The sequence below is a fragment of the Homo sapiens genome, chromosome 11 (assembly GCF_000001405.40).
Source record: "Homo sapiens chromosome 11, GRCh38.p14 Primary Assembly".
In the NCBI taxonomy this organism is placed as follows: Eukaryota; Metazoa; Chordata; class Mammalia; order Primates; family Hominidae; genus Homo; species Homo sapiens.
The window spans coordinates 114,222,479-114,250,040 of record NC_000011.10 but is presented as its reverse complement, the minus strand read 5'-3'; the positions used below and the strand labels follow the sequence as shown (position 1 = coordinate 114,250,040).

General features: G+C 48.7%; 1 protein-coding gene across 5 annotated transcripts in view, besides 1 other annotated feature; it reads right to left on the bottom strand.

Annotated features, from left to right (window-relative positions):
* The window catches only part of ZBTB16 (zinc finger and BTB domain containing 16), a 197,060-nt gene that overhangs the window by 6,730 nt on the left and 162,768 nt on the right, over positions 1-27,562 (bottom strand). For all 5 annotated transcript variants that reach the window (NM_001354750.2, NM_006006.6, NM_001354751.2 and 2 more), the window contains 2 exons: positions 7,704-7,874; positions 2,676-2,843 (listed from right to left, as the gene is read on the bottom strand). In NM_001354750.2, the coding sequence (NP_001341679.1) occupies positions 2,676-2,843; positions 7,704-7,874 (339 nt within the window). The remainder of the gene's footprint in view (positions 1-2,675; positions 2,844-7,703; positions 7,875-27,562) is intronic.
* Positions 9,087-9,586: an enhancer, noted in NCBI's record as "H3K4me1 hESC enhancer chr11:114111177-114111676 (GRCh37/hg19 assembly coordinates)". NCBI's record gives its function as "activates a minimal SCP1, AML or CMV promoter by ChIP-STARR-seq in naive H9 embryonic stem cells {active_cell/tissue: H9 hESC(naive)}" and the evidence as "EXISTENCE:reporter gene assay evidence [ECO:0000049][PMID:30033119]".

Here is a 27,562-nt window from a genome sequence, read left to right as displayed (position 1 = left end):
TTGTCTTACTATTCTTAACTCTCCCAAGGCCACAGTCTTTTCCCTTTCTAATTAAGAAAATGGGTGTCTAGAAAGAGAAAGGCCCCAAAGTCCTCAGGAATGGCTCTTCAAGCCACAGTTCCGTCCAGAGAGCAGGTGGATCGAGACCTTTCAGGGCTACAGATGGTGGGGAGCAGGGGTGGGGGGAAATTGAGGGAACCCAGTCCTTCAAATATGCTGCACCTGGGGACACCTATCCTGCTAAAGCTCTCTTTTTTTTTTTTTTTTTTGAGACGGAGTCTCGCTGTGTCGCCCAGGCCAGACTGCGGACTGCAGTGGCGCAATCTCGGCTCACTGCAAGCTCCGCTTCCCGGGTTCACGCCATTCTCCTGCCTCAGCCTCCCGAGTAGCTGGGACTACAGGCGCCTGCCACCGCGCCCGGCTAATTTTTTGTATTTTTAGTAGAGACGGGGTTTCACCTTGTTAGCCAGGATGGTCTCGATCTCCTGACCTCAAGATCCACCCGCCTCGGCCTCCCAAAGTGCTGGGATTACAGGCGTGAGCCACCGCGCCCGGCCTTTTTTTTTTTTTTTTTTTTTTTTTTGAGATGGAGTCTCACTCTGTTACCCAGGCTGGAATGCAGTGGTGCAATCTCAGCTCACTGCAACCTCTGCCTCCCGGGTTCAAGTGATTGTCCTGCCTCAGCCTCCCAAGTAGCTGGGATCACAGGTGCCGCCACCATGCCCGGCTAATTTTTGTATTTTTAGTACAGACAGGGTTTCACCATGTTGGCCGGGCTGGACTTGAACTCCTGACTTCAAGTGATCTGCCTGCCTCGGCCTCCCAAAGTCCTGGGATTATAGGCATGAGCTCCCCCACCCGGCCTATCCTGCTAAAACCGCTAAGACCTTGCCCTGGACCCTGCCTCCCTCCTGAGGCTGGAATTGGGGGTGGGGTGGGATGGGAGGGATAAAGAACCTGGGAGTGCACAGCCACACCCTAGCGTTCTATACCCCAACTTTCCTTCCATAGAGTCCCCTAGAGCTGAGCAGAGGATGTAAGGGAACCTTGTTTCAATACAGTAATTAACTGGCCAGCCATCTCGCTATCAATACTCCCCCGCGCACAGGCCCCAGCAAATAATGAAGTAATGAACAGCCAAAGTGATCTAACTATCGACCAGCTATTTACAATAGTCACTGCCAATACAGTTAATGATCCACCTGCCAGGTCACATCCCTGACAAGGGGCTAAGGAAACCCCAGGGCTCTGGGAAATCCTCTGGGCCACTATAGTTGTCATCAACGGACACCCAACCCTCTCCTTGTGGGCTCAAACTGGGACACGAAAAACGAGCTCTGACAACACATAGCTCTGCTTACTGCTCCTTCTGTCCACCCTTCCCCTCCAAGGGCAACGTACTCTCCTCTAAGCCAGCAGGACCTGCCTGAAGCCACCTCTCCCCCTTCCTCTGGACAGGACAGCTGTCTCCCCTGATCAGAGGGGGCGTCTTTGTTTTCCAGCTTCCACCACCTCTCACCCTTCTGTAAATCAACCTTCCCCACAACCAGCAGTGTGCTGGTGGTAAATGTTTCATGACTGGCTTTCCAAAAAGCCCTGGTTTGTAGCATCTGCTGATTGCTATGATGTGAATACTCCTACAGTGGCCAATTTTAAGCAACTAAGGTGGTGTCACTGAACTTGAAGTTGTGAAGAAATGTGAAAAATTAGCTTTCACAAGCAAGCTCCAGGACTTCACTGCCCCCAACTTGGGAAACTGTGGAAGACCCTTCACTTGTTTTGTCTTTTGACCTCAGGGAAAACAGTGGCCCACATTTCTTTTTCCAATACAAAAAATAATGTGGATGGGCACGGTGGCTCACGCCTGTAATCCCAGCACTTTGGAGGCCGAGGCGGGTGAATCACTTGAGGTCAGGAGTTCGAGACCAGCCTGACCAACATGGCAAAACCCTGTCTCTACTAAAAAAAATACAAAATTAGCTGGGCGTGGTGGCACACACCTGTAATCCCAGGTAATTGGGAGGCTGAGGCAGGAGAATCGCTTGAACCCAGGAGGCAGAGATTGCAGTGAACTGAGATCGTGCCACTGCACTCCGGCCTGGCCAATAAGAGCGAAACTCCGTCTAAAAAAAAAAAATGTGAAGGCACTCTGAAGTGGTAAAACATCATATGCATATAGGGATTATTAAATATATCTGCTCTTCTAATCTCAGAACCAAACACAATCTAACTTTACAACTTCCCAACCTTCATAACAACCTAATTCAATGTATCCTAATTCTTACTCTAACCCTTGAGTAACATGAAATTACCCTAACCTTCACTTTCAGCTAATTGGACCAACTTACCCCTAATTCAGGACTCATATACAGACATCATTTTGCATGTCACCTCTGAACTACTGGTATAGCTGCCTGGAGGGCTGATGGGGGCTCACTGGAAAGTGTGCTGGGATTGATTAGTAATGTCTGCCTTGGCCTTGACTGATGGCCCTCAGGCCACCTTGACTGGGGTGTGGTGGTCCTCAGGCCACCATACCAGCTCTTAATAGAACCTCTTCTACTCTTTGATTCAGCCTGGGATCATCCTCACTTAGGCTTCTCTAGGAGACTATCTGCTTCCCACCTCCGCCCAGGTCCCAGAGCCAGCTCAGGCCCCTCCCTGGCCTTCGGTACCTGTGTGCACCCTATAGTGCGTCTCCAGCTGATGCTTGAGGCTGAACTTCTTGCCACAGCCATTGCACTCGTAGGGTTTCTCACCCGTGTGGATGCGTTTGTGGCTCTTGAGTGTGCTCTCATCCCGGAAGCAGCTGCCACAGAACTCACACTCGTAGGGGTGGTCGCCTGTGGAGACAAGGGGCTGGATCAGGCCTTTGCCTCTCCCTGCCCCCTCTTCAGGGGACAGTAGGGCACATTCTGTGCATGAGAAGGATGCGACGGCCTGTATTCACCACCTCCAAAGACAACTTAAGGATCCACGGCCACACCTCCATTGAATAAACAAGCAATACCTGTCTTCACACATGACCATACTTTACTGTGGCCCCATGATCATCTGTGGGGCAAGGGCCAGTCCTGGGAAAGAGAGCCCATTTGGTTCAGGGATGGACAGCAGTCCCCAGAAAGCAAGCCCCCTTGTGGATACATGAGACCTCACCATCTTGCTTCTCAGATGACCTCTTCTCCCCTTCCTTTAGGTTAAGGGTGAAAGTCACTCCAGCCTGACTCCCCAACCTTCAAAGAAATCTCTCCAATTTGAGGAACTTCACATTGTCCCCCAAACACCTTCTACAGTCCCCAATTTCCTTCCTCCACAGTCTTACATAGCTGTTTCCTCTGCTCGATTTCTTCTTTTCTCCCTGGTGAACTCCTAATCATCCTTCAAAGCCCAGCTCATATGATACCCCCGCGTGGACGCTTCCCTTTAGTTCCCCAGGCAGAATGAATCACACTTTCTTCTGTGTCCCCAAAGAGAAGAAATGCCCAGAATTTTGTTCTGTTATTAGTGTGGTATCATTTTTATGCCACTTTCGCATTAAAATGGGCTACATTTCCTGAGCACTCAGATGTGTGATGTGATCGCATCAGATGATCATGGCAACAAACTTAAAGAAAGATATTAGTCTCATTTTACAGTTGAGAAAAAAATGAGATGCTTCCACATCATCCCTAAGGTGAAACGGCAAGTAAGGAGCTGAGTTGGGATTCAGGTTTGGGTCTGGCTCTAGAGTCAGGGTACCATATACTTGTCAGCTTGCTGACACACTATGCTGTATCTACTGGCTTGCCCACCATACCTCCAGCATGGAAGCACCACCAGGATAAGAAGCAAGCCTCACCCATCCTTGTAGCCTCAGTGTATCGCACAGGGAGGATCCAGAACAGACCCAGGAAATGGTGGGTCTATGAAACTTGGAGAGAACTGCCTTTTCTTTTTTGAGGATCCCACTCTTAAATCTCCAGAGCATGAGAGGTTGGGGTGTGGAGAATAACCATCTTGCCTTTCATATCCAAAGTGGGGGGCTTGGGGGATGAAAGGTGAGGACTCCAGCTACTTATTTATTACAGGAGTGAAGGCGCAGACAATAAAGATAGATTGATCACCCCAGACTTTGTTCATGAATATTTAAATATCGCTGATTCGTCTTGTCACTGTAATTACAATTTCTCTGGGCTGCATCTCCAACAACCACAGTTTATGGTAAAGAATGGCCCACTGTATTTCACTTGTCCCTCTGCAGATGTGCGGGGCTGCCAACCGTGTAATGTCCTCTGCATTTCATACATTTTCTTCAGCTGCTGAAGGTTTAAGTCATCCACAATGACCTACGTTTTTGCATTATCCCCATGTCAAACTGCGCTCGTGCCTGGGCATAAATTGTCCTTCTCGTTATAGACTCGCATGCCTGTGCCTTCACTTCCTTTTTAAAATGATATTTTACTCTCTCCTGTCTCTCCCCTCCTCGGGCCACTAACCAAAGCTCCCCCCTCCCAAAGTTAGGCCCCTGTACCCACATAAATTCTCATCTGTTCTGATGGCTCTGAGGGGTTTTTAGGGCTCTGAGGGGAGCGGATGCTGGGGTCTGATCAGTGACTTTCTCATGGGTGGAAGATTTGCAAGAAGCACCCATGCCATGAGAGGGGCACTTCCATCAGGGAATCAGATGAGAGAAGCTCAAAGAGTGGCATCGTGCCTTGACACCAGTTCACCCCAATCTATGGGGTGTTGCACTGGCTCAGAGGCTCGGCCAGCGAGTCCCTCACCTGCAGATCTGGGGATGGGCCAAGGCCCAGGGTTCTCAGTTGGGGAAATTGCTACCTGCCCATCCTCACTGCCAGAGCCATGCGGACTGCCTGGCCCCCAGCCCCATCAAACTCAAGGGAGTGGAGGCCTGTGCAGACCCTGGTACTAATTAGTTGTGTGTCTAACACAGTAAGGGCCAGTCTGTGTGTGCACCCGAACCCACTCTCTCCGTGTGTCTGCACTCACAGCCCTGTCTGGTCTGACATCCAACTCCCCCTCCTTACTGAATCGGCAACGATTACGACTTTAATCAAAGATTCAGTATCCTCATTAAGGTATAAATAAATAAATAAAGCCAAGGCCACGTGAGACTTCAGCTGGAGCCGGTAATTAAAACGTACATCGGCAGCCACCCAGCCGGGTGGGGGTGAAGGCGGCGGTGGGGGGGAAGGGGGCGGCTGCCTGTGCCTTTCCCCTCCAGAGGGGTCCCTAACAATTTAAAAAACAAAGGGTTAAGACAGAGGAGTTTGTTTGATCCGATTTTTAGGAATTTAATTATGAAGTGGAGCACATGTTAAATGAGTTTAAATAGGAAATTCTTGAGTCTGCCCAGGGAAAAGAATAAAAAGAACTTAGAAGGAAAAACAAACAACAACAAAAAAAAAAGAAAGAAAAAGTCACCAACACACACGTATCCCCATCCCGATTTGGAAGCACGGTGTGCACCTGGCGTGAAATCTTCACCCTGAGAGCTGATTGTGTCAGTGTGGCCATAATGTACACAAAACTGGCTGCAGAACTCAAAATCCAATTTGTGGTATGTTGATTAACTCTGTAGCCTCTTTAATGAGCTTGACATTAAGTGCAGGACAAACGAGACTAATTAGAGCCCCCTCCAGCCTGCCCAGTGCACCTGTGACCCCGCCCCCCCCAATCTGTCCTTACTTGGTGCTTTCTCTGGCACTGGCCAAGCCCAGTGTCTGTCGTCCTCCCCACCCCAGCCCCATCCTGCTGGCTCCTCAGGCCCCTCCCTTCCAGCCCCTCCCTTCAGCACAGCTGAGAGTTTATTATATGATGAGCCGTGTGAATCAGGGATCCATCAATGCCAAGAGCACGGCTGGACTAACCTACCAAACACAGCTGCTGATGCTAAACACCCGGCCCCAGCAGCAAATGGGCCAAGAACAACGGAATATTAATGAGGCATTGTGTGTGGGGTGTGCACAGCCTGTATATGGCTTGTGTGCGCAGTGCCTCGCTGGTGTGAAAATTGATGGGTGTTTCTCTGTGTGTGCATAGGCAGCACACATGCTCCGTGTTTCCTAGAATAAGCAAGGGCTTCTCCCTAACTCTGGAAACAGCCCCTCCCCGTGGATCTGAGCCATGACTGACACAAGAGCATGTGACATTTTCATATCTGAGCTCTGAGAAGGTGGCATGGTCAGAGCAGGGCACATCCTGGGTGGATTTAGCAGGACTGAGATCATTCAAGTCACATGAAGCCAACTGATTGGACCCAGTGGCATGCTCAGAAGTGGCTGAAAGGTATCTAGCCATCTTTCATAAGACCGAATGAACCTGGGGAACTGTTGAGGGAGGCGTTCATAGGAAGGTGCATATAGCTGCAGGGGAAATGCTTACGCAATCGCTGTAGAGAAAGTCCTTGTCAACATCCCACTCTCCTGGGCCCTTTTTATTGAGCCCACCCCTCTGGGCCCTACCTCCGTCCTGTCCCAGAAATTTTAAGTAGTTCTGTGCAAATCTGGTGATGCTAAGACAATGTGCTCCCCTGAACAAAATGGCATCCAGAAGTGACAGCCAGGAAGGCTCCTTAATGAGGATACCTGCTGCTGGCTGGCCAGGCCAGCTCAGTCCATGAGAAGTAAAGCTCTTCCCTTATTTAGCAGAGCCTGCCACCCATGCAAGACCTGGTCTGCATACTCAATCTCTGAGCTGTGACAAGACTCTCAAAATGAGGAGAGGGCCTACTGTTCCTTTACGTGGCATGCAGAGGTTTTTACAAGTATACGCTCTGTTATATACCCAGATAGAGACCTGACCCCAACCCTCCCTACAAACACAGCACACAAAGGCAGACTCAGAAATGGGCATTCCTTTAACCAGGTAGTTTCAGCAGAGCCCCAGTTTTGTCATAGAGAAAATAAGGAATTTAAGCCATCCACTCCCCTGTTAGGGAAAACTGGGAGCTGCTGCAGGAAAGCAAATGCCTCTTGGCCATCAGGGACCAAGTGTCCCCATCCCTCAAGCCCTAGAGGCTGGTGGCAGGGAATGGCCAGCCCCTCAGCACCTGGCCCAGCCTCCTTACCTTGTACCCCCTCCCTTGTCCCATCACCTGGAACTGGCTGAGCAGTGATATTTCATTGCTCATCGTTTAAATGCCCTCCTTGTCTTCCCTAAACAGGGTTAAGGTCCAAGTACAGGCCTTTGTTACTGTGGGGAAAGTAGGATCACTGCTTCAACTTGCCCTCAGAAGCCCGAAGCTGACTTCAGAAATGTGTATGGATAGAGCGGCGGGGCATCAAGAGTGGTGGGAGGCAGGGCAGACAATGTTAAGAGACCCAGCAGGTCAGTTTTTCTCAAAATTCATTTTGGGTCTACCTACATGAGAATCCCTTGGGAATACATATTAATAATGCTGAATCTGGGACCCCACCCTGGACCCATGGAATAAAAGGTTCTGAGAGTGGGACCCAAGAGCCTGCCTTTTTAATGAGCATCCTGTGTTGAACACGGAAAGACTTTGAACCGACGGTCCACAGGAGGGGACTGGGAGAACTGTCCACATTTACCTGCACGACGGGCAGCCTCTGCACGTCCAAGCCTTGAGCAGAAGGACTGAAGGCTGACTCAGCCCACCACCTCCACTTTACGTCCTTGGAGGTAAATATAGACGCTGGCTCCCAGAGACCCAGATCCACCCATCAGCTGGACTGACCTACCTGTATGTGAGCGCAGGTGGCGTTTGAGAGCCGTGTGGCTGGGGAAGGTGCGGTTGCACTCACTGCAGATGTAGCTGCGCACGCCCGCGTGGACCTCCATGTGCTGCTGCAGTGCGCTCTGCGCCTGGAAGCGCTTCCCACACAGCAGACAGAAGACGGCCATGTCAGTGCCTGTGGGAGACAGGAGAGGGGGTGCCTCAGAAAGGTGGGAATACAAGGTGCATTCTTTACCCATCTGGAGTGAGAGCCAGTGTCGGGACTCACACCTCCAAATCCCCATGCTCAGGGGCAAATCCAGAGTGGGCCCAGGCTATGCAACACTGAGCACCCAGTATGTGGCCCCAGTGATGGGCAAAATCGACGTCGTTCCCGAGCTCTGGAAGCTAAAGCTAAAGGATAGACATTGATCAAATACATCGCAGCAGCAAGGGTAGTGGGCAACTGTGTCGGGTGGTATGTAAAAGGCGGCAAGGTACTAAGACAGCATATACCAGATGGACTTCACAGAGTACAGGGCAAAAAGTGGGGGAGGCAAGGTAGACCCTGCGAGAAAAAACAATAACAAAGATACTATGGGCCAGCCATTGTTCTAACATAACTAATATAAATCCAAAACTCAAAAAGCTAGCCTCTGTTATCCTCATCCCTTAGACAAGGAGACTGAGGCACAGAGAGATTAAGTACTTTGGCCAAAATCCCACAGAGCAGTGGTCCCCAACATTTTTGGCACAAGGGACTGGTTTCATGGAAGGCAATTTTTCCACGTATGGTTGGGGGATGGCTTTGGGATGATTCAAGCACATTACATTTATCATTAGACTCTCATAAGGAGTGTGCAGCCTGGATCCCTTGAATGCACAGTTCCCAATAGGGTTCATGCTCCTGTGAGAATCTAATGTCGCCACTAATATGACAGGAGGCGGAGCTCAGTTTCACTCGCTCGCCTCCTGCTGTGCAGCCCAGCTCCTCACAGACCATGGCCCGGGGGTTGGGGACTCCTGCCATAGAGTTCGTAAGTGGCAGGGCTGGGGTTCACACTCACACACCCTAGATTTTAATGCTTTCCCAAGACTAGCTACAGATCCTGTTTTGTTTTTTTTTTTTAACTACTTCTCCACTCACTAAAGCATGAATCTTAGGTCCATTCACTCAACAAGTATTATTTGATGCCTTCTACAAGCAAGGCTGTCTTTTTGGCACTGGGGATATAACCAAGGAAGAGCATGCAAAGTCCCTGCTCTCATGACCGACGTTACCCAGAACACCAGGTGAATGGCGGAATCCGGAAGATGGAATAGTGTCTGTGAACACTCTGGGCCAGGAGGAAACATGGCCGGTGGGAGGATCAGACAGAGGAATGGTGCAGTGCAGCTGGGGAAGAAGAGGAGGCTAAAGGGAAAGGCAAGGGCCAGGCCATGCAGGGTCTTGCAAACCACGTCAAGAGATTTAGTTCCATCCTAAACCCGATGGGCAACTGTCAAAGGATTGAAAGCTAGCGAGTGATGTGAGATTTTCATTTAATTCTAACTGGCTGTTCATCCCCAAAGTACCCCACACATACAGGCTGCCATTTTCTGTTTGTTACCAATCCCTTTCTGACACTGCTCTGGAGCCATGGCCGAAATTTCCAGCTGCAGCACCACAGGAGGAAGTATCTGACCTTGTGTCTGAGTCCTAACTGGCAGCTCAGTGCCCACCCTTTTGGGCTCTGTTTTCCTGAGCACAGGAGCTCCCCGGCAGGCCCATCTGTGTGTCTCTGTGCTGGTGCCTGGGCAATATCACCTGCACTTGGCCCCACACCGCTGTCCCCTGTGTGGGAAGGCACAAGCAGGAAACGTAAGTAGGCCTAGCATCTGTCAGTCCAGTCCAGAGTGGGTGGGGGGAGGGGGTAAAGCTTTGGCTGCTGGAAGCCATGGGCTGCTCAGCATGGAATCGGGAAGTGTCTGGTGGAAGGTAGGGGGAAGAGAAGGGATGGCACGAAGAACCTCCCTGCCTTCCTGGCCATCAATGGAGATAGCAAGTGAGAGGTCTGGTCCTCACCACCTCCGTCCCACTCATGGCTGGGTTAGGATGGACTAGTAGGCAGGCAAGGCCCACCTCTCACTGTCCCCCACACTTCTGTGCCCCTCACACCCACCCTGATATCCCTTCCCTTTGCAGACACTGAAGTCTAAGCACCTGGAGCCACGCCCCATCTCACCAGCAGTCAGGAAGGCTGAGCAGGGAAGGAGAAAAACAGCCAGCACAGGATTTTGCTCCTGGCCAACAAAAAGCAGGAAGGAAGGGGAGCGAATCTAGGCGTTATGCTAGGTACCTTATCTATGTTGTCAGTTCATTTAAAACTTGCAATCCTACAAGGCAGGCATTCTTATCCCCCTTTTTACCAGTGTAAAAGAGAGATTAAATAACTTGCCTAAGATCACACAGAAAGAGGCAGAGTTGGGATCTGAAAATATCTCGGTTTGTCTTTCAGAAACCACGGGGCTGGACTCAATGCTACCTCTGGAGCTGACTGCCCGCCTGTCTGGGCTTACCCTGGAAGAGGCCCAGTAAGGATGGTACAGAGGACTCCTGCCTCTAGTACAGCTCCAGCAATGGCTAGAGAACCCCTGGCCAGGAGTGGGCAGTAGCTGGGGCTGGGTCACAAGGCATAGCTCTCTGAGGCCTTCCAATCCCACTGGGAGCCACCAAGGTCTCTCAGAAATGCTGAGTAGTCTACTCAGCTTCACTTGCTGGAGGGAGACATAATGAGAGATGTATCTTTCTGGACAGAAGCAATGCCAAGAGTTGACAGTGAGTCTTCAATGTCCCTCCCTGCTTGGCCGACGTACACAGGAGGACAGTGCATCTGCAATGCGTTCTGTGCCCGGTGGCCCCCACTCCTTCAACTTGAGAGCCCCCAGCATCTACTCCCTCTCTGCCCTTAACCCCCACCCCACAGAGAGCCCAAATTAAGCCAGGTGTTCAAACAGCTACCTTAAATCAGTAGGGTTGAGTAGGCTTTGGAGGCCAGCCATGCCCTTTAAGAGCCAAGGCTTCTCCTTATGCATCCTCTGAGATCCCCGGCATGGAAGGAACCTGGGCAGAGGGAACATGAATGGCATTCCCAATAGGACATCTCAGCCTATACAGCCAGACCCACAGGTGCTCTGAGTGTCAATACACCCAGCAAGGCAGACTGCAGCACTCTGCCCCCTTGGCCTTTCCAAGGCCCCTCGATACTGCCCCACTATGCTGTCCCTACTTCTCAGGGTGGCCTGAACCCACTTCATGTCCATTCAGCCAACTCACTGAGCCACTACCAAGTACAGGCACTGTGCTAGGTGACCAGGGGCAGGCTAAGGCTGAGCAGAGAAACTGGGTCCCAGACTAGTGGGAGATGCTGAGTTAACAACCACCCAGAGGGTAAGGCAGGGCGACTCCAAGAGCTCCTGAGATTTTGAGTTAGGCTTTTAAAAGTTGAGTATCTGAGAAGCAAAGGACAAGAAGTTGGGACACATGTGCCAGGCTAAGGAGAGAGACACCACTGGCAAATGTCAGAGCAGATGGGGCCAAGGTCAGGCCCTGGGGATGGAGACAAGCTGGGAGGGTGATGGGAGTCAGATCAGAGGGCTGCATATGCCAGGCAGGACAGGTTGGACTTTATTCTACAGGCAATGCAGTGCCATGAAAGGACCGAGGGTTGCTATGATCCTAATGTCTGGGTCCCCCTCTGATTCCTTTTTTGAAATCCTAACCCCTAAGGTGATGGTATTAGGAAGTGGGGCCTGGGAGAGATAATTAGGTAATTAAAATGGAATGAGTGTCCTTGTAAAAGAGGGCCCAGAGAGCTAGCTAGCCCCTTCCACCACGTGAGGACACCGAGAAATCAGCAGTCTGCAACCAGGAGGAGGACCCTCACCAGAACCTGAACATGCTGGCACCCCAATCACAGACTTCCCAGCCTCCAGAGCTGTGAGAAATGCATGTCTGCTGTGTATAAGCCACCCAGTCCGTGGCAGTTTGTTATAGCAGCCTGACTTGACTAAGACGAGTGGTGCTAGCACGATCTGACCTGTGTTTGAAGCCAGTGACTCTGGGCACACATGGGGACCAACAGCAGCAGCAAGCGGTTAGAAGCAGCGAGAGGGCTGATGGGCCACTGGAGGAGGGTAGGGACCAGACCAGGGCAGAGGCTGCCAGGGCAAAGGGAGAGAGAAAATCCTAGAAAGGTGGGACAGCAAGGGAGGAGTGGCACGCAAAAAATCCCAGATGGCCAGTTCCACAACTGGCCAACAGGCTGGAAGTCATATGGTCACCAGCTGGAAAGGAAACACTATGATGTCCCTACAGTGGTCTCTCTCCCCTTCCTGGGACATTCCACAAGGTGCAGGGGTGCTCCTTGGTCACGTATCCACCAACCAAGGCTCCCAGGGGAAGAAAGGGGAGCCTCTGAGACTCAGCATCCACTTTCCCCATTTTTCTGCTTAGAAACTAACAGCTATGATGATAGAAAAGTATTTTTAAAAAAATGGAAAAGTGGGGGAGATGTGGATGAGACACAAGAAAAGCTATTGGTGCATGCGAGTTAAAAATCTAGAGACTAGATGTGAGTTATTAAACAATTTGCTGGCGTTTCAGCCTAGCTGATTGTTCGCATGTATGATGAGTCAGGGCAGATTCTATTACACTGGGAGATTAAGCAAATAAATGCTAGCTTTTGGAAACACATTAAAATGTGGGACTATGGAAATAAAATTATCTAGAAAATTGTATTAGCAATTCATTAGCTGCAGTGAGATGTGCGGCGGGGCAGGGGGGCCCGGCAGCACTGGAACGCTCTGCTCCCTTCAACGCCTGGGTTCCGTCCTCTGCTATGGAGAGACGTCAGGCCTGGTACCACTGGGGAGAGGGGAGGTGCTCTGACTGGATAAACGAGACCCTCAGAAGTCAGATGGTCCACATGACACAGGGGAAGGAAAAGCAGCACAGGGGTCCCAGCTCTCCCACATACTTGCCTTGTGGCCCCGAGCAAGTCATTCTTTTCACCAGATCCATTTGCTCCTTATCTGCCACTGTGGTTATCAAGAACATCGAATGAGATATCCACACGAAAAAACTTTATAATGTGGTCACAGAGCCAATGATGGCCAAACAACACCTTCATCTGAATTAGAAAATCACGTCTCCTCCTCTGGCCAGCCCCACAGACCTGGCTGCATATTTATGGTGAGTACAGAGAGGGCAGGGTTTTGGGATCTTCCCTCCTCAGCTGGGCACCCTTGTGCAGTGAACGACCTGGATCATGAGTCATGGCAGCCCTGCACAATACACATGCCTAAGCTGTTTTGTTGTCTTTGGGCTGCTACTTTCTGGGAAGCTGACCCTAGAGAAGGCATCTTTGAGGAGTTACACCACTTAGGATTCAGTGCCAACAACACCATCTTCCTCTGAGCTCTGTTGTATCACGTAAAGCCCTGTATTGCATTTATTTTGGACTTTCAGCTCTGCCTAATAGATTATAAGCCTCCAAAGTAGGAACTATTGTATTCATCTTTATATTCCCCAACACACAGTACACAGCCTGATATGGAGTAGGCACTTAATAACTGCATGTTGAATTAGAAAATAAATAAGGGGTTGTAAGACAATCACAAAGGGTAGAGGAGGAGGTATGAGGAGAGTCATGGTACAGACAGAGGGCTAGGGATGAGGAAAGTTCAGACTACAGTCCACAAATGAAACCACTACTAAGAGCATCCAACAAGACTCTCCTTGGAAATCAGTAATGACAAGTGACCCACAGGCAGCGGATCTCACTGAGGCCCCCCGTGTCTGTCTGGTGGGCTGGACAGGACTCCTTCGTTGTCACTCCATGTCTGAGCTCTGTTGCTCGGAAGCAAAAACCCAGACCATAGAAGGATCAGTTTTGCCATATTATACAGTGAAACAGTCCAAAGATCCCAATTCTGGCCCAGAGGTACAGCCCTTCTTGGATTTGTGATCCTAGTCCAGGCAGTGGTTGTCCTTAACCTTGGTTTCTTCATCTAGGATAAGAGAATTCATAACTAACCTGCCCTTTCCAACCCTAACTTCATAGCCCTGTTATGATGCAACTGACAAATGTTTTTGATTATGTAAATCCTAAAAATGTATTGTTTTCTATCAATCTGTACATTTCAATGTAAATCAGATATATAAGTCAGCTTTGACCCAAGAAAATAATTTTTCAGGTCAAGGAATTAGCACCTCTGCTGTTCTGAAGAATGAATGGGACTCAGTCTTAGCCTGGACTCCCAGGGTATCTGCTCAAAGGGAATCTGAAGTAGGAAAAGGGGATGCATGTAGAAAGGATGATGCTATCGAGACTCAAGGAACATGACTCTTAGTAATATGGGCAGGATCCATGCAAATATCTGGGACCACATTTGCATCAATTCTATCTCCAGAGAAGGTGACCCACACCAGACCCCCCAGTGGCAACACTGCCAGTTTTGACTACAGGGCATGTATGACTCAAAGTCTTCCAATTTAAAACAAGCTTAATTTTAGCAAAAAAAAAAAAAAGGAGAAGGAAGGAAGGAAGGAACGAAGGAAGGAAGGAAGGAAGGAAAGAAAAGAAAAGAAAGAAAGAAAGAAAAAGAAAGAAAGAAAAGAAAGAAAGAAAAGAAAGAAAGAAAGAAAGAAAGAAAGAAAGAAAGAAAGAAAGAAAGAAAGAAAGAAAGAAAGGAAGGGAGAGGGAAAGAAAGAAAGAGAGAGAAAGGGAGAAAGCCAGGCCAGGGTGGAATAGTAGGCAGAAGGGGTGACACAGACCTAGGGTATTTCACCCAGGTGATGACGGGGTCTGAAATTATGAAACACAAAACCCCTCATGTTTACACCTGTGCCATTTCCATACCAATTATCTCTTTAATAGATGGGAAGGAAGAGGATCAGAGGGGTACACAGCTGGAGAAGATGTTCAGGTGCTACACCTTCTTGGAGCAAAGCTCTTATTATCTCCTGCTATAAGCAGTTTCTTAATCAAAGGAGCAGAGGGATCTAAATATACTCCAGCTTTTTTTGGTAAGCAGGCTGGGACTGCTGTGTGTGCATGTGCTGGGGTGTGTGCATGCCCGTGTGTGCTCGTGCATGCACATGTACCCCGGAGGGGCTTCTCACGTCCAATCCTACCCAACCTCACCCAACAAAGGAAGGACTGCCTCCCCTGCCACCCCGAAAGCTTCTTCTCCCCACAGAAAGAAAATATCAAATTTAGGAGGGTGTGAAAACCTTGATTTAAACTAGAAACTTCCCCCTCCCTCCACCCCCAGCCCCCAAATCCTTCAGATATGTCTTTCTGCTCCCTCTGACATCCTGGGGGATTACTCTTTCCTAAGACACCATCTCCAGCATGGGCAACCTTCGTGACCACACACTCAAACCATCATATAAACTGACGCCTTTTCCTTTCGCCCATCTTCTCCTCCCTTTGCCCCCAGGTTGCTGCTGAAAAAGGTAGCAGGGCTGTACCATCCACTCGGCAAGAGAGAAAGAGAGGCAGAGGCAAGCAGCATCAGGCTGACTCCCACCCAAGGAAGGAAGGCTCTGTCTGCATCTTAAAAGGATGGAGAAGGCTGGGGTGGGGTGAGGAATAGACAGAAAGGAACAAAGTCCAGCCCTTGAATCTGAGTGGCTCCTCCATTTTGACTTCCCCTGTGCTATCATTTAGGACTCACCTCCTTTTCAAGGAATCTACTGGACAAATGGCCAAGAGCCCTCTCTTTAGTTCTCTGGTTTTCCTCTTGGGCATGAGTTTCAGGATCATTAGGGATGCACTACTGTACTCCTGGCGTTCCTCAGAAGGCTAGCTATGTGGGCAATGAAGGCCAAATCAGCCCACCGAACCCTGGAAACTCCAATCAGCTGCTGGTGAGTGGGAGACAAGTTCCCCAGTTCCTTTTACTGGGGTAGAATACACAAAGATACCATCTTGGAAGACTTGTCTCAAACTCAATTAGCTTTGAGCTCATGCATGGGTGTTTGTCTCCTGCATATAGAGTCACCCACTGCTGAGGCGTTCAGTTACATCTTCCCAAACCAAGCTAAGAGCCAAAAACCTTAGCATCACTTGTCAATTTCGTCCTTGTCAAATTTAGGTCTCTTTATCCAGCCCTCTCTGCCCCTTTTTCCTTCCTTTCTTATCTGCGTAGAATCATGGAAGGCATCTATACATCTGTATGACATTCCATTTCCACAAGAGAAAAGGGGAATGTTACGGTTTCAATACCGTCAGTCAAGGGAGCAAAAGCATCTTCATTGCATAACAAAAAAGGGGAGGAGTTTGAGCAGCTGATTCAGATTTGTTTTAAAACTAAGCAATGGATGAGAGAGTGATTACATTTTTCAAAACATATGCACACATACAACTTTCAGTCTCTTGGGGAATGTGGCTGTGTCCTCAGGCAGCAGCAGCTAGCAGAGCTGGCTCCCGGAAAACCGTGTATTTGTTTAGCAGTGAGCTGCAGACACAAGTGCATTTCATTACTCGGCACCTCCAGCTACAGTAAACAAATTTGTCAGCTCACTAGCTCATTAAGGTGCGCCCTGGACATGGGGGATTTATTGAGACCTGCACAATAAAAGTAACATGAATGGATTTACTAATTTTGTCAATCACTCCAACAAACCAGCCCAAGAGGGGGAGAAAATGAGGGAGGGGGACAAGAAAAGGGGTGGATAAAAAAAGGGAAGGAGGTTTTAAAAAAAAAGGAGGAGAGAAGTTTGGTTTGCAAGGAGAGAGAGAATAAACGGGTTAAGAGGGGACAAGATCTGCATTTTCGTACTGGGCTACAAAACCACCTTCACATTCAATCTACCTCCTACGCTGCGTTGCCCTTTCTAGGGTGCAGGGGCCTCTGGCAGGAAGGGGGCATGTTAAGTTGCAAGAAGCCAAATCAAGTCCTGATTCCCTGGCAGTGCCACACCGACAGCAACATCCTCCTCCCTTCCTCCCAGCATCAGATATGGAACTAATGAATCCGAGGATTAAAAACCACATTCCGGGAAGTAGCTGCTTCCAAGCACATCAGCAGAGACTAATATCCTCCGCTGGTACCTCCCACCTGCCCCAGCAGCTCCTTCTTCTTGGTTTCCAGTCCAGTGGCTGGACCCTTCCAGACATTCCAGAATGAATTAAAACTTCTCCAAGAGCAAGCAGAGGAAGAAGGAAAGGGAGTGTGAGAGAGAGAGAGTGTGTGTGTGTGTGTGTGTGTGTGTGTGTGTGTGTGTGTGTGTGCGCGCGCGCGCGCGCATGCGTATGTGCAGTAGAGTGGGTGGGGCCGGGGATGAGTTGGGGTGGAAAGTAAATCCGGAGAGGTATGCAGCCCTCTGGTCTGTAACTTTCAAAATGACAGCAGGACTAGGGCAAAGGTCACGGGGTCCAAGGCCTTAAGCACCTCCGCCAGCTGTGGCAGAGAAGCCTGGAGCCCGCAGGACGCCTGCCCGTATAAATCAGCAGTAAGCAGCACCCGCTGGGGGCGAGGACAATGGGCCCACATGGGGGTGGGAGGCAGAACAATGGGGCCTGGCCAGTGCGCAGGCCCGGAACAAATGTGCCCTGGCACCACGGGGGCCCCCATTTGTGAAACTAATTGGCCCACGATTGAAAAATCGGACCAACTTCAACAACCCAGAGAGGAGAAGGGCAGCTTGCAGTAGCCTAACCTAGCCCAGCTCTGCAGAGCAAGCCTAGCCTAGCCCAGCCCAACCCAACCCAGCCCAACCCTGGGTGGGGCATCTGATGTGGAAGCCTCTCTCAGGGACTGCCCGTTCTGGCAGAGAGGTGCCTCTGAGATGGGATCAGGCTGGGAGAATGATGGACTGTGGGATGGAGCAAGTAGGCAGGGTGCCGACTTGAGGGCCCCGTGCTCAACAACTTCTCCCAAGATGCAGAGAACTGTTTTCCTCGGTTTCTCTACACTGCTTGTTCTGTAGAAATGAAGTTCAAAGGAGAGAGACAGGCACCTGTTTACTCTCAGGGTTCCTAAAGCCAAAGGGCTCCCTACTTCCTGCATTTGGGGGTAGGTGGGTAGCAAATAAACCAAAAGCTACAATCAGTTTCTTCCTAAGTCCATTCCCTGGCATGTATTCTGCCTGTAACCCTCTGCAAGGTTGCATGAGCACTGCAAGAAATATGGGTCCCTTGGTCTCGAATTCAGCTGATCTTAGAGGCTTCCAGGAAAAGAAGCCCCAAAGCGGGTGGGGGAACATCGGGACGGAGCATGAAAGGGCAGGCCAGGATCTTCACATCCCAGCCATCCTCTTGCCCTCACGTGGCTTTTTACTGCAGACTCCCAACTGAACAGGAACAAGAGTACAAAACCTGGCCTCAAGTCCTGGCTCAGTGACTAACTCGCTGTGCACTCCTGGGTGGGTTACTAGACCTTTCTGGGCCTCAGTTTCCTCAACAGTAAAATGAAGAGGGATATAAGTGATCCTTAAAGGGTTTTTCTCCACTCTAATATTCAACAATTCTATTGAAGAGGGTGCTGGCAGGTTGAATGGTCCTTTCTCCCACTGAGATGGACGTCAGCATTTTCTCTTTCAAAGTCAGACTTCACAGCCTTCTTTTAGCTAAAGAGAATCTCTTTAACTAAAAGGAACCACATTCTTAGGCTGACAGAGGGACAGTCACAGACAAGGCAAAGAAAGGATCCAACATTGACTGGGCACCTGCTGGGTGCCAATCTAGGTTCAACCTTTCTCAAGCAGCACTGTGAGATGGGGATTTTTAGGAAGATGGGAAAATTTCACAGGACTTGAGAGAACCTCTAGGTCCCTTTTCTAGGGGACTACCAGTTAGCAGCTTAAGACCTCCTAGAACTGGCTGAACACTCACAGAGGCAATTATTGAGTAGCTGGGTCTGAGAGTACCTGAAGCCTCTCTGTGCCAGGTGAGGGCTGAGCAGTTGGGGTGGGGAATATGGAGGGGGAGCTTTCTCTCCCAAGCCCCCAGCAGCAGAATGATAGAGAAGACCCCCAAGAAAGCCCATATAGAGAGCAAGTCAGAGAACCAGACCCTCTGAATCTAGCAGTTTCATTACAAGAGCACAGTGTCCAACACATAGTAGGCATTTACATTCTGGCTGTGTGTCCAGAGCTTCACGGGAGGCACGGAGTTTCCACGTGAAGGTAAGACCCAATTTCCTTGTCTGAACAATAAGTTATCCCCAGGACTCTTTCATCTCCAGTATACTTCACATGTAAAAGATGCTTTCTATAGATGGTCACTCTCTCTAGTTTCAGACATTCCCAAAGTCATCCTGAGGCCCCTGCAGAGAAACTGCAGCCCAGGAGTAGGTTCTCTGGGGGAAAAAAACCCAAAAACCTCAGCTAGGCTCTCATGTAAAATTTCCAGTAAACCCCAATGTATTCCAGAGATAGGGAGGTGGAGGCAGAGGCAGGAGGCAGGAGGAGACCCAGACAGAAAAGAGAGAGAGACAGAGGCAAGACAAAGGCCCAGGGAGACAGAATGGAGTGGGGAGGGGAGCAGGGGTTGGGCGAGACAGAAATTCAAAATAAAACGAAATACTGATTGTTTCAGCGCCATTTAAATATCTCCCAAACACTGGGCAATGAAAAGAAAAACTACCCCATATAAATAAGCAAAACAAAATAACAAAAAAGGAGAGGATGTATTCATTTTACTGACATTTTAATGGCTCCTCTCCTTCCCGCCCCCCCCCCACAGAAGATGATTACAAATTAAGCAGCATTTAAATGCTTTTTACTGTCAACAATTAAAAGGAGGGCTGTGGGCCTGAGAGTGTGGTGGCCATTCATTCCCACGGTAACCAGGCTATCAATATCAGAGACACCATGCGGCCTTCCCGTACTGTACGGCACACAATAGCCAAAAAGGGAAAAGTGCAGACAGATACTGTTAATTCTGCAGGACATTCAGAAGCAAATTAAAATATAAAAAAGCTCCCAGAGCATACATAGATACCAAGAATGAGGGCAGGGCAGGTCGAGCTCATGGAGTTGGTCTTAGCAACGGCAGAATGTACGCACAGCCTGATTACACCTGATTCAGGGCTCCTTGCGTTTGTTTCATGTACCTGCATGTGTGTGCATGTGTGTGTTGCACATGCACGTGCACATTACAGGAAGGACCAAGGACAGAGGTTGTTTTGCCTTCCTAGGGTCAGAGGAATAAACAATAAATCGAGCCCAGGAGCTCTACGTCAGACCCAGAACCAGCCAGGGAGTAGAAAGAGGACACACCCACTGCCCCAACCTGGGCTTCAACCGAGAGGGCGGGACCACCAACGTTCACCCTTCCAACACCTGCCCCACGGCCTTCTCCGCTGGGCCACAGGTAGAAATCAGGTGATTCTGATTTCACTGCGTTCAGAGGAAGGGATTTCATCATTCCAGGTGAACCAAAGGAACACATTTGATTTTTCAGAAATTGACTCTTTTTTCACAATTCAAACTATCATTACCAATTCATGCCCAACCCCTGCCTGCCCCGGCCCAATACCACCCATCTTCACATCCTTCTAAAAAGCTAAAACCCAGTCTGTGTTAGGTCCTGGTAAATTCTGTTGCCAGAACTCTCTTTTAGCTAACTCAATATAGTTTCTAAGCATCCATGTCATCACAGGTATCTTTGAAAATAATGGAATAATGAAAAGCCAATTCCAGAATAAAGAGGAAGAAAAGAAAAGGGTTAAAAAGATAAAGGAGCAGAGAACGTAGCTACGAATTTCCTTTCCAGTCCTTCAGAGAAGGAGACAGAAATCACAGAAAGTGAGAGTGGGCTACCAGGTAGAGGGTGAGAGGCTGGATTTAGAAGCAGCCGGGTATACTTCTGTACCGTAAAGTTTAATATGCAGGAGGGATGACAGAGAAATAAAAGAGACACGTCCCCTTTAAAAGGAAATATAATTTACAGTGTGCAGCCAGGCGGCCCATAGTTTCAATCTCGTTTACTATAGAGAAAACTCTGCTAGCTGTTCTCTATCCCACAAATCCGATTTAATCAGACAAGCCAGCCAGCGTGGCTTGGAGTAAAAACGGATAATTAGTAAACAGAGAGCTACTCCAGTGCTTCATTGGCATTCGAGTTGGGCTACTGTGTCGCATTTAAAATGCAGTCTGATGAAGTTTACAAAATCAAACCATTTGTTACTCCTATTGAAGAGGCTTCAGGCCACTCGCAATTAAATTGGAATTAGTGCCCAGAATGAGACACAGCAAATTCATACCAAAAAGGGATCTGACTTTGAGACGTTTGACTTCACTTCCACAGTTTTCTGTGTGAGTGTGTGTGTGGGTGTTACTGAAAGACTCCTTACTCACCCCGACTCTGCAGGGCTCCCCGACTCCCCACAACCTGCTACTCTCTGGGCTGGCTATGGGGGATGGGGCGCCAGGGAAGGGGAGGGACAGCTGACACCAGGGCGCCCGCCAGGCCTGCATTCACACCAGGAAGATACTGTACTAGGGAAAATGTGTCCACAAAGGACCATATGGCTCCCTTCTGCATTGAGCCCTTGGACAAGAGGGTGGAAGGGGGCGGGGGAAGCTGCCAGAAGGCACACTTCTAGGGGGCACCGGCCCCGCCCACCTCAGACAGCAGGCTGGCGGCCTGGGGAGAGTGGGGGCACCTTTTCCCCTTGGCTGGGCTCCTGTGATGCCCTGCAAAGGGACTGCTTCACTCACGACATCCTACGTATCAACACGCTCCCAGCCCCGTGCACTGTGCACTGCCCCTCTAGGCAGAAAAGGGGAGTGAGCTCAGGTCTAGGCACGGCTTCTTAACCTGGAGTCCACGGAACCCCTAAGCTGTCCAGGGACAGAATTCAGGAGATTGGTGAACTCAGAGAGGGGAAAAAAGTGACATCTTTATTTTCACCAACCTCCAACTGAAATTCAGTGGCTCCTTCCATTAGGAATATAAGCAACCAGCAAGTCATATGGGCAGTACTGGTAACTACTTGGTCACCGGTAGACTTTACAGGTATTTTCACACTGCACTAGAAATGTTGCAGTCATCTCAAAATATCATCTATGCAAGCCACTCCCGCAAAAATATGGTAGTTATTCAATTACAGCCTGATGTTATTGGTTAATGGGATAACAAAGAATCACACATATTTCTATATTACAAATGGTTTTTAAAAAATATTTTGATATTTGTATTTCAAGTTTCCATGACAATCCTATGTATTTTACTTTCTGCATTTAGAGACCTGATTCTGAGGAAGAGTTCAGGGGTTTCGCCAGACTGCCCAGGGAGCCAATGGCACAAAAAAGTTAAGAATCCCTGTCTAGGAGTCAGGGAAGGAATGGGGAGTTGGTGTTTAATGGGTACGGAGTTTCTGTTTTACGGGATGATAAGAGTTCTGGAGATACAGTGTGTGTTGATGGTTGCATGACAATGCTAATGTATTTAATGCCACTGAATTGTCCTCTTAAAATGGTTAAAAATGCAAATTTTGCATTACATATAATTTACCAAAATTAAAAAATTAAAAACCAATCCTGGTCTGAAACTACCTGTACCCTTCTGCCGCCCAGAAGTATCTAGTCCAAACTGGTATTTATTCCCTCAAACTTCTCCATCTGCAATGGAGAGCCAAACTAAATGCTTGGCCTCCCAGGAAGCAGGGAGTATGGGGCCTTGCAAAGGACACTACAGGAGGCCCAGCCTTAGTCTTCAGCTGTGACACCCACAAGACTTAGAGACTTGCTTTAAGTTCAAGGTTTACTGTCTTCCCCACCTGTCAGAATGAAAGCTGCATGAGAGCTGCGACCTCACTTCTCTTATACAGCACTCTATCTCTTGGTTCTGACAGGTGTTCAATGAATATTTATTGGATGGAGAGAAGGACGAATAGATGGATAAAGGATTGCACAAATGAATTTGATTTCTCTGGACTTCAACTCTTCTGTAACATGAGGGGGGATAGGCTTTGTGATCCTGTGAAGCTCCTATTGTTCTAAGGGGCTCCGTCAGCATGACATCCTCCCCTGTCTGCTGACCACACCTTCCCCCAGCACATGGGGCCCAGGAGGTGGATGGTGGGGGTGTGCATGGTGCACACAGGTGGGGGATACCTGATGTGCAATACTGGGGGTGATGGGCCACTGTCTTCCTGGGCCCCAGGACTTTCCTGCAGACCTCAGGGACAGCGCTGCTCCGGCTGCTGCACAAAGCAGTATCGCCTTGCTGCAGTCCTGCTGGAGTCCACTGGGCTCACCAGGCCACCTTCCCTGCCACAACAGGCTGGTGGTGATGGTGGTGGACAGGGGACAGTAAATTTATAGGCTTACTGAATAGGCAAGCAATGAGAGGGAGTCCGTAGGCCTGAGGGAGAGGCTTTTAGGCAACGTCAGGCTGCACGCAAGGGATTTTAAAGCCTGGAAGGAAGATACTGTCCTTCTTGCTATTTGGGGAGGGAGAGAGAGGAATATGATATGATAAAGAAAAATAGTAAAATAAAAGAGCACATTGCCCACTAGCATTTCCCATTACCCCCACATCTGGAACTACCCTCCTTTCAAGTAGGTTGCTCTCCTGATTCTATAAATCAGTTTCAGGGAAGGAAGACGAGTGTCTGGTAGGCATCTGGCTGGAGTTCAAGGTCATGTCAGGTGGTGTGCATGCTCCTCATGGGCAGCGTGGTCCCTCCCAACACTCTCACACATTCAGACACGCCAACCCTGGGCACTCTGAAGGAGGGTCTGGAGAGAAACCCCAGCCTCAGATGCCGACACTAAAAGGAAACGTGAAGTAGAATGTCACTTCGTGGTTTGGGGTTCTCTCCTCCCATGTGGGTTTTGTTTCTTAGGTACCTCCCCTTTCAGCTCCTCCTCTGGAGTTTTTGGGCCACTGCCTGACAGCTCTGGAGCCTGGGGTTGATGCTGGGGCAGATGGAGGCCTTAGGGCTGACTCTCTCAGGCCAACCACAGGCTGTCCAGCACCCTGGTTAGAAACAGTAGTGAAGAGAGACACCTCTGTTCTAGCTACCCAACACCAGCATCGCTTGATGGCCAAATCTTTCTGCTCTTCCTTTCTTCTGTCCAGTGCTCTTCATTTCTCTCTTTGGGTGGTGGTGCTTTATTTCCCCTGGGGAACAGCATTAGAGAGTTACTTTATGTACCCCTCACTCAGTTACTCACTTACTGACTCACTCATGCACCTCAAATTTCTTGAGTCCCAATTCTGTATAGGAATCAAACCCTGAGGCTACACAATGATAAGAAAATACTTCTTGGCCCCAAGAAGCTTACAGTCTGAGAAGTACAAAGCAAAGAGCCTCGGTGTTGAAGTCAGACCACACCTGGGTTCAAATTCTGACTCTTCCATTTATTTACTAACTACATAATCATATGCAAATCACTTAGTATCTCTGGGTCTTAGTTTCCTTTCTGTATTAGAGTTATAGTACCCACCATGCAAGGTTGCTGGGCAGATTAGAGATAATATATGAACAATGTCTATCACAGTGTCACATGATTAGGGGATGGAGAAACAGTAGCTGCTTAGAACACTGATCCAGTGGCTGGGTGAAGAAGGGTGTGGGGTACAGATATTTAAATCAGTGGGCTGTGGTGTTTTAACTTAGGTACTTCTATGGTTTAAATGTGTCCCCCAAAGTTCCTGTGTTGAAAACTTGATCTTAATGCAGCAGTGTTGGGAGGTGGGGCCTCTTGGGAGGTGTTTGGGTCATGGGGGCTGTGCCCTCACGCGTGGATTAATGTCGTTCTCAAGGGAGTGGGTTCCTTAGGAAAAAATGAATCTAGTCCCCTCTTGTGCTCTGCTCTCTCTTGCCCTCTCGCCTTCCACCATGGAGTGGTGCAGCAAGAAGGCCCTTGTAAGACGCTGGCACCCTGATCTTGGACTTAGCCTTCAAAACTGTGAACCAAATACATTTTTGTTCTGTATACATTACCCACTCTCAGGCATTCTGCTACAGCAGCACAAAACAGACTAAGACAGGTACCATGAGCTGCACTTAGGCCCCCTCTAGGAGGTGCTTATAGAGAACACTCTATGTCTTTCATCACCAAGAAGAGCTCTATCTCTACAGTGTTATATTCAAACCTCATTCCCACCTTTTAAATTCTCCCATCCAGTTACTCCCACCAAACCCATTATTTGATCTTCAAAAATCTCCCTAGAATGCCTTTCCTTTCCTTACTTCTTTCATATTCGGCCCACACTTCAAGGCCCGTCGTCCAACTCCCCACTGACTTCTGGCCAATTCCTGAACTCCCCTGCCTGGGATCCTTCAATTTCACCAGCCTGCTGTACCCTAAGCTTGGATCGGTCTAACTAACCACCTCCTCCACTCCTAGAGCTGCCTACCCACGTTGCCTCTACCTCCCAATTGCTCACTAACTCCTCAACCCACTGTAATCCCACTCCTGCTTCTATCATTCCACTGACACCAAAACTGTTTGCCTTTGATATCCAGCGACTCCCATGTCACTAAGAGCAACAGACATTTTTTAGTCTGCCTCTTAGGGGACTTCTCAGCACCATCTAAAACTGACTGCTTTTTTCTTTTTGAAACCTCTTCCTTTAGCTTCCATGACACCACACTCTTCTGGTGTCCCTCCTATTTCTTCCAGCAACTCCTCGATCTCCATCGTGGATTGGGATTGTTCTGGAGGGGTGGAATATGTTGGGGTTCCTCTGGATTCTATTCCAAGCTCTCTTCTCTTTCTATACTCTCTTGTTATATAAACTCACCCAGTTCCAAGGGCTTCAATGATCATTTATATGTTGATGACAACTCCAAAATGGACATATCCAGTGGGTCTCTCTCTTCTGAATTCCAGATACGTCTGTATACCCACATGCCTCCTAGGCACACCCTACCTTTGGATGTCATGCACACCCTGCTACTGTATATGAAAACTGTTCAGTATCCTAACGATAACAATAAAAAAAGCTCTTTTTTCTTGTATTCTTCATTTCAGTAAAGAACTCCACTATCACTCAGTTGCCCAAGCAAGAAAAGTGGGCATTATCCTAGATTCCTCTCTCACCTCTCGAAAGAGATCAATTACCAAATGTTTTCGGATTTCTAGTATCTTTTTGTGCATTTATTTATCCACCCCCTCATACAGCAACACTGGTTCAGACTACCATATTCTTTGCCTAAATGATGGCAATATTATCCCAATCTCCCTGCCTTCAGCTTAAACCCACCAGTTGAGTCAAAACCAAGTAGTCAAAGTAACTTTTCCATGACATCACCTGATGTCCCTCCCCTGATTAAGATCCTTTCATTACTTCCCTATTGTCCCCAGAAAAAGGCAAAAACTACTTAAAATGGTTTTCAAGGGCCTTTCACCATTTAATGCCCATTTACTTCTCCAAGTTCAGATCTTAGCCCTCCTCCCCACTCCCATTTTCAGTTCCATGAACTTGTCTTACTCTCTCCCTACTCTGGACATTTACCTACCTTGACTCTCAGCCTGGCATTCTTCCCTTTCTCCCCCATTCCTTCATTGTCTTAACTTCTTCTCATCCTTCAGATGACAGCTTAGATGACACCACCTCCAGGAAGCCTCCATCCAAGTTGGAGGTTGCTCACGTGTGCTCTAATAACATCCTTATACCTCCAATATAACAATATTTATCCTGTATATGACTTGCTTATTTTCTTGTGTGCCTCCCTAGAAGGCATGAAACCCATGAAGACATGGGTTCTGATTTGCTCACCACTGTATTCCCAGAGCCTAATATACTACTAAGTAAGAATGGGTGTTCAATAAATATTTACCGAATGAATTAATAAACAAATAAATACATTAAAAATAATCTATTAATACTTCTGTGGGCTTGAGCCAGAGCTCCAGGCAAGTCATAATTTTCAGAGCCTACACCATTAATATCTGACTCTGACCAACTTCAACTCAAGTAAACATGCTGGCTTACTCTCCTCTCTCAAGCCACCCACCCACTCACCATCCCCAATTCCCTATGAGTTGCAGGCTTCTGAGTCCGTATATTCCCATATCTTTTAATACGTGCGATTGTTAGGTGTACACTCATATCCACATGTGTTAGGAGCAGGGCATAGGCTTTTGTGGGTTTGGTTTCTCCTCTCAACCTGGAAGTATTCATTCATGTGGTACTCAGTGCAGTGCTACCCAGATGTCCCTTCCTGATGAGGAGTCATTCACAATTGAAGACACAGATCTCTAGAGAGGCCTGCAGAACGGCTATCACTCTGTGGCCAAAGCTGTGAGATTGCAGCCAACGAGCACCTACAGTTTGGGATCTGAAGTCAAACCTGACAACAACTTCTGGGCACTGGTGGAACATGTAGATGTCTCCTGGTGCACACTCCCTATCTCTTTCTCCTCCAAGACCAGGGCAGGCTCTCAGCTATCCCTGCAGGGCCTGCTGTGAGCTGCCCTCAGGCACATAAGCTGACCTCAGAGTCTGAGCCCTCTACACTCAAGCAATGGGCCCCCACAAATCACACTCTTGGTGGGTTTTCGTCCCTCCTCAGACGGTGATATATATGATATACTGTTTTGAGATCAATTTTCGCAGCATATGGGGATTCTCTAGAACAGGGATGCTAATGGAAATGCCAAAAGCCATGTCACTAGCATGCTCAGAAATCATGACCTCCAACACCCTCCTGCTAGGAAAATAAAAAGGGGCTTCTTTTAAGAGGTGAACAGGCTTTTGTCAGATGTGAGTTGCTCTCAGTCCTGGCCAAAGATCCTGGTTCTTGTGGATCTAGAGATGATCTGGCAGTGGTGGATACAATGCCAGGTGTCCTCGCAAGCAAATGTGACAATACAGGCAGCCCCCAGGGATTTACCAGCTCCCGGACAAAGGATCCCTCGTCCTTGTCATA